This window comes from Homo sapiens, chromosome 2 (assembly GCF_000001405.40).
Source record: "Homo sapiens chromosome 2, GRCh38.p14 Primary Assembly".
NCBI lineage: Eukaryota > Metazoa > Chordata > Mammalia > Primates > Hominidae > Homo > Homo sapiens.
Window position 1 is genome coordinate 169,605,557 of NC_000002.12, and position 12,066 is coordinate 169,617,622.

General features: G+C 37.2%; 1 protein-coding gene across 4 annotated transcripts in view; it reads left to right on the forward strand.

Annotated features, from left to right (window-relative positions):
* PPIG (peptidylprolyl isomerase G) overlaps positions 1-12,066 on the forward strand; it is a 57,056-nt gene that overhangs the window by 21,206 nt on the left and 23,784 nt on the right. For all 4 annotated transcript variants that reach the window (XM_005246967.2, NM_004792.3, XM_017005302.3 and 1 more), the window contains exons 5-9: positions 483-590; positions 1,548-1,592; positions 3,115-3,202; positions 8,908-8,937; positions 9,029-9,168. In XM_005246967.2, coding sequence (XP_005247024.1) covers positions 483-590; positions 1,548-1,592; positions 3,115-3,202; positions 8,908-8,937; positions 9,029-9,168 — 411 coding nt within the window. The remainder of the gene's footprint in view (positions 1-482; positions 591-1,547; positions 1,593-3,114; positions 3,203-8,907; positions 8,938-9,028; positions 9,169-12,066) is intronic.

A 12,066-nucleotide genomic window follows, 5' to 3' on the forward strand; every position in this document is an offset into this window, starting at 1 on the left:
TTGGGAGGCCGAGGTGGGTGGATCACTTGAGGTCAGGAATTTTGAGACCAGCCTGGCCAACATGGTGAAATTCAGTCTCTACGAAAAAAAAAATTAGCCGGGTGTGGTGACAGGTGCCTGTAATCCCAGCCACTCAGGAGGCTGAGGCAGGAGAATCACTTGAACCCAGGAGGCGCAGGTTGCAGTGAGCCAAGATCGTGCCACCGCACTGTAGCCTGGGTGACAGAGCTAGACTCTGTCTCAAAAAAAAACCTAAAACCAAACATTAGTTGTAAAGGTATATTATTTGAGAGTGATTTCTACATTCTCCAGAAATAACGTGGGTGATTTTTTAAATGAATTTTTAAAAAAAAATTCCTGAAAGGAATGAAAATATGATTTTAAGTCTGCAGGGTTCAAGAGGGGCATATTTTACATTTATTTTGCTTTCATACTACTTTGATTTCCTTTCTATTAAATGTCCTATTTTTTTATCTCTATAGGTGAAAAGGGGACCGGGAAATCAACTCAGAAACCATTACATTATAAGAGTTGTCTCTTTCACAGAGTTGTCAAGGATTTTATGGTTCAAGGTGGTGACTTCAGTGAAGGTGAGACTTGGAAAAATCATGTATTATTTTCTGTTAAATATCACAGATCTCAAAGTTAGACAAGTCCCTAGAAGTTTTAGTCCAATATTCTTGTCACTCTCACTCCATTTAATCTTTGGTCAATTAGAAGTACTCATAGAAATATGTAAAAGAAGGAAGCTCATAGGCTGGGTGCGGTGGCTCACGCCTGTAATCCCAGCACTTTGGGAGGCCGAGGTGGGCGGATCACGAGGTCAGTAGTTCGAGACCAGCCTGGCCAACATGGTGAAACCCTGCCTCTACTAAAAATAGAAAAATTTGCTGGGCATGATGGCACGTGGCTGTAGTCCCAGCTACTTGAGAGGCTGAGGCAGGAGAATGGCTTGAACCCGAAAGGTGGAAGTTGCGGTGAGCTGAGATTGTGCCACTGCACTCCGGCCTGAATGACAGAGCAAGACTCTGTCTCAAAAAAAAAAAAAAAAAGAAGGAAGCTCATAGAAAATAATTTTGCCTTTGACACATGAATTTCAGAAATAGGCTTCTGGATACAAAACAACACTGCATTCATCTCAGTAATCTGTCAAGTGTTTCTGTTTGATTTTGTCACAAGTGGTAATCCTTACTACAATAAAAATTTTTACTTTTTTATTGTAAAAATATCAAAACTATAGTTTTAAAAAACTTTGAAAAAATGTTAACCTGTTGCAAGACCTGCATAATCATAATTAGAATCTGAAAGTTCTTTTTTAAAATATATTTTAATAGTCTTCGTCACATTCTTGCTATCATAGCATAGGGGAAAGAAAGTAATTTGGGACCTTGTCGTTATTGACATTAATATCTTTTATGATTTGCTGCAATCTTCGAATATTGTTAATTCAAAATTATTCAAAAATCTACTTTACAAGAAGTATTTTGTTTAGGTATCACCTTTGAGGAGCTTACTGAGAGTTATAAGAGTATGTTTTTCATTTTTAGGAAATGGACGAGGAGGGGAATCTATCTATGGAGGATTTTTTGAAGGTAAAAATGTTTACATTTATATTATGTTTTAAATATTTTGTCTTTTATTCTATTTTATTCTCTATGGAATCAATAACATTATTCATTAAAGGGTATACTAATGTCTAGCTGCCTTCAACTAATCTGAAGGTTAATTTTCTGGTAAAAAAAATTGCTTTTTATACAGATGGGTATTTTTTCTTCTTAGGACATTTTTACAACATGATTTGAAAGGGTTTCAATGATCTGTACTTAATTCTTAGAATTTTAATGATAGAATAGGAACTTCCGTAGGTCAATCTTAACTTTTATTAAAGGAGATTCAGCAATATTTCTTACAACATCCAAATTTTAGGTCATTTTTTCTATGAACATTTTTAAAAAATCTTTGATATTCTAAAATTTGACTATAATATTTTCCAAAAATTTAAGTTTTCTTGCTGGAATTTTTTTGTTGATGTGAAGACCATTTGGAAAATGGTCTATAAGCATATTTAATGTGGAAATAATTTAATATTTTTCATCCTTCACTTTTGACATTTAGTGAAATGTTGTTTAAAATTCTACATGATTTGTTCTTAATATTCTAACCCAAGATTGGAAAACAAATTCCTCCTTTTGCGGTAAGTGATGCTATGGCAGAGGTTAAGTTAATGAGTCCAGACTAAATAATACTCTGTGTGCTCAGAAATGAAACAGATGAAATGTAAAAGAATCTAATCTGGACTGTCTCACTCTTTTTTTTAAGAGATGGGATCTCACTGTGTTGCCCGGGCTGGAATGCAGTGGCTTTTCATGGGTGTGATCATAGTGCACTTTAGGTTCAAGCTCCTGAGCTCCAGTGATCCTCCTGCTTCAACCTGCTGAGTAGCTAGGACTACAGCCACACTACTGTGCTCAGCTGTTTCTTGCTTTTTAAAGATAGTTTCATTTTTTTATTTAAATAAAGTGGTGTTATCTTTTCCAAAAATTGTGAAGGACAAATATAAATGGAAAGGAAGGGGATTGAGATAATATTTGGGTTTTATAAGCAAATAATAGAAAATTAATAATATTTGAATCTTAAAAAGATGAGAGGGGAGGCTGGGCACGGTGGCTCATGCCTGTAATCCCAGCACTTTGGGAGGCCGAGGCGGGCGGATCACGATGTCAGGAAATTGAGACCATCCTGGCTAACACGGTGAAATGCCGTCTCTACTAAAAATACAAAAATTAGCTGGGCGTGGTGATGGGCGCCTGTAGTCCCAGCTACTCAGGAGGCTGAGGCAGGAGAATGGCGTGAACCCAGGAGGTGGAGCTTAACAGTGAGCCGAGATTGGGCCACTGCACTCCAGCCTGGGCAACAGAGCGAGACTCCATCTCAAAAAAAAAGATGAGAGGGGAAATTGATTCATATTTGATTCTCTTCTTTCATAACCTAACTTTATTATCTAAGTAAGTTGTGTGTGGCACTAAATAATACATCAGATATGAATAGAAGTGAAGATGAAATTTTTTTGGAGGTTATATCTATAATGTAACTGAAAACTTTACTTCTCTATAGACGAGAGTTTCGCTGTTAAACACAACAAAGAATTTCTCTTGTCAATGGCCAACAGAGGGAAGGATACAAATGGTTCACAGTTCTTCATGTAAGTATTTATTATCTGATGATTTAAAACATCCCATTTTTGGGCCGGGCACGGTGGCTCATGCCTGTAATCCCAGGACTTTGGGAGGCTGAGGCGGGCGGATCACGAGGTCAGGAGATCGAGACCATCCTGGCTAACACGGTGAAACCCCGTCTCTACTAAAAAATACAAAAAAATTAGCTGGGCATGGTGTCGGACGCCTGTAGTCCCAGCTACTTGGGAGGCTGAAGCAGGAGAATGGCGTGAACCCGGGAGGGGGAGCTTACAGTGAGCTGAGATTGCGCCACTGCACTCCAGCCTGGGTGACAGAGCAAGACTGTCTCAAAAAAAAAAAAAAAAAAATCCCGTTTTTGGTCTGTCATTTCTCTGTGTGCCTGCCATTGATTACTAATAAATAGGAGAGGAATCTATGAGGGACGGAATTGTTGAAGGAAGGGGAACAAATAATTGATTTTTTTGTTGTTGTTTTTGAGACAAGGTCTTGCTCTGTCACCCAGGCGAGTGCAGTGTTGCAATCATGGCTCACCACAGCCTCGACCTCCCTGGCTCAAGCAATCCTCTACACCTCAGCCTTTCAAGTAGATGGGACTACAGGTGTGTGCCACCACACCTGGCTAATTTTTTAATTTTTTTGTAGAGACGGGGTCTCCCTGTGTTGCCCAGGCTGGACTCCAGGCTGGGATTACACATGTGAGCTATGGCACCTGGCCAAAATTGTTGAAGAGGGAAAATTGTTATAGAGGGGAAGTTAAATTGTTCTGCTAATGTTTTGAAATAATGGAGACTTGTCAAGAGAACACAGGAGCCAGGTTAAAGGTTTCCCACTAGCCAAATTAGGATAATTTCAGCATCAAAATAAGTAACAGTAATATCAGTTTATGGTCAAATAGGAACCAGCAGTCTACACTGATATAAATAAATGATTAAATAATGAGAGAGAAGGGAAGCTGTTCCCTTATTAGAATGTCAACTAATAAATTTAAACGGAATGGTGGAGTTAGAAAAGTCACCATTTTGTAATCATCACAGTAATGACTGACCCAGGCAAGAATCTTCTATTGATGCTAAATTTAGAGGGGTGATTTCAGTGAGAAACTAGATGTTTACAGAGTATTTCTCCGTAAATTACTTAATTACAAAGAATAAAATGCAGTCAGTTCTCACTATTCATAGATTCTGTCTTTGTGAATTCACCTTCTCACTAAAATTTATTTGTAACCTCCAAATGCTAAGGATTTCCAATTCCAACTACAAAAAAAATTATGACCAGGCCTGTTGTCAGTAATGCCTGTTTTTAAAATCCTATCTTATGGGTATAGGTTTGTTCTGTTCGGTAGCCTTGAAATCTCTTGTTCTGTGAGGAATTTAATCTGTCAGTACCATGTGGATTATTCTGTCATTTCCCTATTCTGTATTTGTTAACTGTTCAACAGTGAGAAATCTGGCGCCTGATTATCTTCAACATTTCTGTTCTTTATTGATTCCTAGAATGAACAGTTGCCATCCCATACTGCTGTAAAGAAAGACCAACTAACTAGAGTTCACTATTTCTTTATCCTTATTTTCGTTTTTAGACTGAGTGTAGGTAGTTAAACACCAAGTTTAAAAGTGACTTAAATTAGTTCTTTTTTGGTTTGGCTTTGTGATTCACTCAAAATGTGTTAGGTTTATTCCTTTCTGGTTATATTTCATTTTGTTCTCCTTCCTACCTAGTTTTGATATTTTTTTTTTGCATTTTTTTAAGTTTATGAAATAGTAACATTTCCAAAGTCAAAACAAAAAGAATACTGTGAAGTGTCTCTCCCACCCAACCCTTCCACTCCATTCCCATTTCCTTTTTTTTTTCACCCCAGTTCCATCTATACATGTTAATAACCAACCTAATTTCCAGTTTATCTTCCTGTATTTCTGTTTGTAAACATAAGCAAATACATGTATACATTTTCTCACTTTCCCTTTCTTACACCGTAGATGGCATACCATGTATACTGTTTCACTCTTCACTTAACAGTATATCCTTAAAATACTCCATAACAGTTTATAGAGATCATTCTTATTCTTTTTTGCAGCTGCATAGTACTCTATTGTTTGTGTATACCATAGTTTATTCAACCAATTGCACATAATGTGGATCTCTGATTTTCTTTTTAAACAAAACAACTTATGGCTGGGTGCAGTGGCTCATGCCTGTAATCCCAACACTTTGGGAAGCCGAGGTGGCGGGTGGATCACTTGAGGTTAGGTGTTCGAGACCAGCCTGGCCAACATGGTGAAACCCAGTCTCTACTAAAATACAAAAATTAGCTGGGTGTGCTTGCGGGCGCATGTAATCCCAGCCACTCGGGAGGCTGAGGCAGGAAGGTGGAGGTTGCAGTGAGCCAGGGTCGTGCCACTACACTCCAGCCTGGGCTACAGAGCAAGACTCCATCTCAGAAACAAACAAATAAAACAACTTATAATTACCTCTTCATTGTAAAAAAAGAAAAAGAAAAAAAGAAAGAAAACACAGATAAGACACACACACAAAAATCCCATTCCCAGAGCATCTTTCTGTGCATTAAAAATGTTTGTAGAGTGTCGTTCTATAGTCAACTTTTGGCTATAATATAAATCTCTGCACATCACTAAATATTAGCTTTTTAATGGCTACATGTTAATCTCTTGCTTGAAAGTACTGTGCATTATTAATCTTATTTTGGGACATTTGGTTTGCTTCCTGTTTTTCAAACTGCTCCAATGAACATTGTTGTGCCTATCATTTGATGCAGTTTTAATATTTAAGAAGTTTACTTAATGAACTATTTACACATTTTTAAGCCTTTTCATATATATTGTTATGTTGATTTTCAAAAGGAAAGGATAGTTTACTGTAGCACCAGTAGTATGTAAATGCTAATTTCACCACATTCTCAACAGAGTATTATAATTTATTTTCCTCTTTTAAATAAAATCTTTCCTGCACTAACCAAAACTCCTATGTTAAGTTCATATAATCCTTCATATATATATTCTCAGAATCTTCCCTCTAAATGTTTGTTACTCCTTATATCTTCCTATTTCGTAGGTAACCCTTCTTCTGTGTTCTGTTTTTTAAAGGAAATAACTTCAATTTTTAGAGAGCTTCAGTCTTAAAAAAAATTTTTTTGTACTATAACATATAGAAGATTTGCCATTTTAACCATTTGTAAGTGTACAATTCAGTCTTGTTTATAGCTATTTATTTATTTATTTATTTGAGACAGAGTCTTGCTCTGTTGCCCAAGCTAGAGTGCAGTGGCACAATCATAGCTCACTGCGGCCTCAAACTCCTAGGCTCAAGTGATCCTACCGCCTCAGCCTCCCAAAGTGCTGGGGTTATAGGTGTGAGCCACTGGGCCTAGTGAGTCATGTGTATTCACAGTGTTGTACAACCATCACCACTATTTCCAGAATTGTTTCATTGTTGCAGAGACTCTGTACCATTTCCCCTTTCCCCCAATCCCTGGTAACCTCTATGAATTTGCCTGTTCCGCATATTTTATTTAAGTGGAATTCCACAATTTTTGTCCTTTTGTATCTGGCTTGTTTCACTTAAAAATGTTTCCAAGGTTTATTTATATTGTAACATGTATCAGAACTCCATTTTTTTTTTTTTTTTTTTTTTGAGACAGAATCTTGCTCTGTTGCCCAGCCTGGAGTGCAGTGGCAGAATCTCGGCTCACTGCAAGCTCCACCTCCCGGGTTCACGCCATTCTCCTGCCTCAGCCTCCCCAGTAGCTGGGACTACAGGCGCCTGTCACCACGCCTGGCTAATTTTTGTATTTTTAGTAGAGACGGGGTTTCACCGTGTTAGCCAGGATGGTCTCGATCTCCTGACCCCATGATCCACCCGCCTTGGCCTCCCAAACTGCTGGGATTACAGACGTGAGCCACTGCACCTGGCATGAAGTCCATTTTTTATGGCTGTGTAATATTCCACTATATGTATATACCACATTTTTTGATTCATCTGTTAGTGGACATTTGACTTGTTTTCACATTTTGGCTATTGTGAATACTGCTGCAGTGAGCATTGGCATTTGAGTTTCTTTTTTTAGTTCTTTTGAATATATACCTAGGAGTGAATTGGTGGGTTATATGCTAATACTCTGTTTAGCTTTGTGAGGAACTTCCATACTGTTTTCCATAGTGGTTGCACCATTCTACATTCCCGTTAGCAATGTACAGGAGTTATTTATTTTTCCACATCCTTGCCCAGCACACTTATTTGCCACACTATGTGTATCTGTAAATTACCATGAAAGCACCACAAGCTGTAATTTTTTAATTTTGGGATTACAAATAAGTTTTAGTGAGCAGGCAGACTTGCAAATAAAGTTATCAGTGAAGTGAGGATCAACTATATCTAAATGCAAATCATATATATGCATTGTGACTATAACATGTTATATGAATACACATAGTGTACACCTAGGTTTTTACATTTCTAGGTGATTTTAGTGAGTTGAAGTGAGCATAGTGTCACAATGAGGAAACAATAGCAGGTCATTAATTTTATAATTAGGTAAACCTAAAAATTCAGCTATATGTTATAATTTTTTCAGTGGTATTGTACATGCTTTCACCAAAGATTAGCATAAATTATGCTCCTTTTTTCGAATTTCTAATAGCTTTTTGATAAGGTTTTTTAAAAATAAAAAATCTTATAAAATGCTAATCTTTAATTTTCATACCAGTGTTTTTAGTACGTATTCAAGTAGCAACCTTTTTACCTACATAGCTTTAAGGTTGATGGTGGGGAGTGGGATTTTTTAAAAATAATTTCGTTTGCCAAAAAATGCTTATTTTAATTTTTTTTCCCAACTCCTAATCCAGATCTCTTGCAGCTAATTAAAAAACTTGTAAACTCTCAGCGGGGCAATGACTCATACTTGTAATCCCAGCACTTTGAAAGGTCAAAGTGGGAGGATCGCTTGAACCCAGGTTTGAGACCAGCCTGGGCAACATAGTGAGACCTGTCTCTACAAAAAATACAAAAATTAGCCAGGCATGCTGGCATGCACCTATAGTCCCAGCTACTTGGGATGCTGAGGCAGGAGGATAGCTTGAGCCCAGAATGTTCAGGATGCAGTGAACCAAGGTTGTGCCAGTGCACTGCAGCCTGGACAACAGCATGAGACCCTGTCTCCAAATCAAAAAAATAAAAACAAAAAAAACTTGTAAACACGATATGAACCATTTCTGTTCAAGTCCAACAGTATATGTCTGAGGATCATAAGAATATAGCCCGTGCTTAACTGTTTAAAATGTTAAGATTGAAAAGCATTATTGTTAAACTCAAACACTGGTGGAATTGTTTCATAAATTTTGATATGTCTACATGTAGAACATTATACAATTATGACTATTCAGTAAGAACTCAAGTGCAAGAAACATGAATGGTTAGAAATAACACTGAAATGTCTATTTTAGTTACATAAAAGTTTTCAGCAGTAAGTAGATATTGCTTTTATAATTAGAACAAGTTTGATAAATACATTATGTGGAAAGCATTTTGCCTTCTGTTCTACTTAAGATTGAGGTAATATGATTATATTAAGATAGCAGTTGATGTCTTTGTTTTCAACTTTGTTTCCAATACAGTTATTTTCTTTTTCTTTTTAGAGATGCTAACTTTGTTTTTCTCTGACTTTGTTTTTATTCTTCTATCTGATGATTTCCAAAAGAACAACGAAACCAACTCCTCATTTAGATGGGTAAATATTATTTTATTTATTTTACAACCTGTTTTAAATTAACCTTGAAATAAAAAGCTTTTATTTAATAATTTTTTACTTGACACTTTAGGCATCATGTTGTTTTTGGACAAGTAATCTCTGGTCAAGAAGTTGTAAGAGAGATTGAAAACCAGAAAACAGATGCAGCTAGCAAACCGTTTGCGGAGGTACGGATACTCAGTTGTGGAGAGCTGATTCCCAAATCTAAAGGTAAAAAGGAAGTACATATTTCTGAGAATACTTACACATACAAAATAAGCAGAGATACTCTAAATAGTTGACATGAAATTCATACTCAAGCTGAAAGAAAAATGAGGTTTTTGTTTTAAAATGTATTTCTGTGCTTTTATTTTTTACTTTTTTAAGTTGACAAAACTTGTGTATACTTACTGTGAACAATATGATGTTTTGAAGTATGTATATGTTGTGGAATGGCTAAATTGAGCTAATTAACATTTATTGCCTCACATAATTACCCCTTTTTGTGGTGAGAAGAACACTTAAAATCTTAGTGGTTTTGGGTTTTTTTTTTGTTGTTTGTTTGTTTGTTTTGAGACAGAGTCTCACTCTGTCACCCAGGCTGGAGTGCAGTGGCATGATCTTGGCTCACTGCAACCTCCGTCTCCCGGGTTGAAGCAATTCTCCTGCCTTAGCCTCCCAAGTAGCTGGGACTACAAGCGCCCACCACCACACCCAGCTAACTTCTGTATTTTTAGTGGAGATGGGGTTTCACCATATTGGCCAGGCTGGTCTCGAACTCCTGACTTTGTGATCCGCCTGCCTTGGCCCCCCAAAGTGCTGGGATTACAGGTGTGAGCCACTGCACCTGGCCAGTGATTTTCAAGAATACAGTACATTGTTATTAGCTATAGTCATCATGTTATACAGTAGAATTCTTGAACTCATTCCTCTGAGCTAACTGAAATTTTATATCCTTTACCAACATTTGTCCAACACATTTCCTTCTCTAATCCCATGGGAACCACCATTCTTCTCTGTACTTCTGTGACTTCAACGTTTTTAGATTCCACATGTAAGTGAGTTCATATGGTATTCGTCCTTTTGTGCCTGGCCTATTTCATATAACATAACTTCCTCTGGGTTCATTCATGTTGCTCCAGATGACAGGCTGAATAGTATTCCATTGTGTATATAAACCACATTTTTAAAAAATCCGTTCATCTGTTGGTGGAAACAGGTTGATTCAGTATCTTAGCTATTGTGAATAATGCAGCAGTGAACATGAGAGTGAGATATCTCTTCAACACACTGATCTCATTTCCTTTGGATATATACCCAGTAGTGGGATTTCTGGATCATATAGAAGTTCTATTTTTAATTTTATTATTATACTTTAAGTTCTGGGATACATGTGCAGAACATGCCGGTTTATTACATAGGTATACACATGCCATGGTGATTTGCTGAACCCATCAGCCCGTCATCTACATTAGGTATTTCTGCTAATGCTATCCCTCCCCTAGACCCCCTACCTGCAGACAGACCCTGGTGTGTGATGTTCCTCTCCGTGTGTACATGTGTTCTCATTGTTCAACTTCCACTTTTGAGTGAGAACATGCAGTGTTTGGTTTTCTGTTCCTGTGTTAGTTTGCTGAGAATGATGGTTTCCAGCTTAATCCATGTCCCTGAAAAGGACATGAACTCATCCTTTTTTATGGCTGCATAGTATTCCATGGTGTATATGTGCCACATTTTCTTTATCCTGTCTATCATTGATGGGCATATGGGTTGGTTCCAGGTCTTTGTATTTTGAATAGTGCTGCAGTAAACATATGTGTGCATGTGTCTTTATAGAAGAATGATTTATAATCTTTTGGGTATATACCTAGTAATGGGATTGCTGTGCCAAATGGTATTTCTGGTTCTAGATCCTTGAGGAATCGCCACACTGTCTTCTACAATGGTTGAACTAATTTACACTCCCACCAACAGTATAACAGTGTTCCTATTTCTCCACATCCTCTCCGGCATCTGTTGTTTCCTGACTTTTTAATCACCATTCTAACTGGCGTGAGATGGTATCTCATTGTGGTTTTGATTTGCTTTTCTCTAATGACCAGTGATGATGAGCTTTTTTCTTTTCATGTTTGTTGGCCACATAAATGTCTTCTTTTGAGAAGTGTCTGTTCGTATCCTTTGCCCGCTTTTTGATGGGGTGGTTTGTTTTTTTCTTGTAAATTTGTTTAAGTTCTTTATAGATTCTGGATATTAGCCCTTTGTCAGATGGATAGATAGCAAAAATGTTCTCCCATTCTATAGGTTGCCTGTTCACTCTGATGATAGTTTCTTTTGCTGTGCAGAAGCTCTTTAGTTTAATTAAATCCCATTTGTCAATTTTGGCTTTTGTTGCCATTGTTTTTGGTGTTTTAGTCATGAATTCTTTGCCCATGCCTGTGTCCTGAATGGTATTGCCTAGGTTTTATTCTAGGGTTTTTATGGTTTTAGGTCTTATGTTTAAGTCTTTAATCTATCTCTTGAGTTAATTTTTGTGTTAATTTTTGTATAAGGTGTAAGGAAGGGGTCCAGTTTCAGTTTTCTGCATATGGCTAGCCAGTTTCCTAACACCATTTACTAAATAGGAATCCTTTCCCTATTTCTTGTTTTTGTCAGGTTTGTCAAAGATCAGATGGTTGTAGATGTGTGGCGTTATTTCTGAGGCCTCTGTTCTGTTCCATTGGTCTATATATCCATTTTGGTACCAGTACCATGCTGTTTTGGTTACTGTAGCCTTGCAGTATAGTTTGAAGTCAGGTAGTATGATGCCTCCAACTTTGTTCCTTTTCCTTAGGATTGTCTTGGCTATACAGGCTCTTTTTTGGTTCCATATGAAATTTAAAGCAGTTTTTTTCTGATTCTGTGAAGAAAGTCAGTTGTAGCTTGATGGAGATAGCATTGAATCTATAAATTACTTTGGGCAGTATGGCCATTTTTACGATATTGATTCTCCCTATCCATGAGCATGGAATGTTTTTCCATTTGTGTCCTCTCTTATTTCCTTGAGCAGTGGTTTGTAGTTCTCCTTGAAGAGGTCCTTCACATCCCGTGTAAGTTGTGTTCCTAGGTTTTTTATTCTCTTTGTAGCAATTG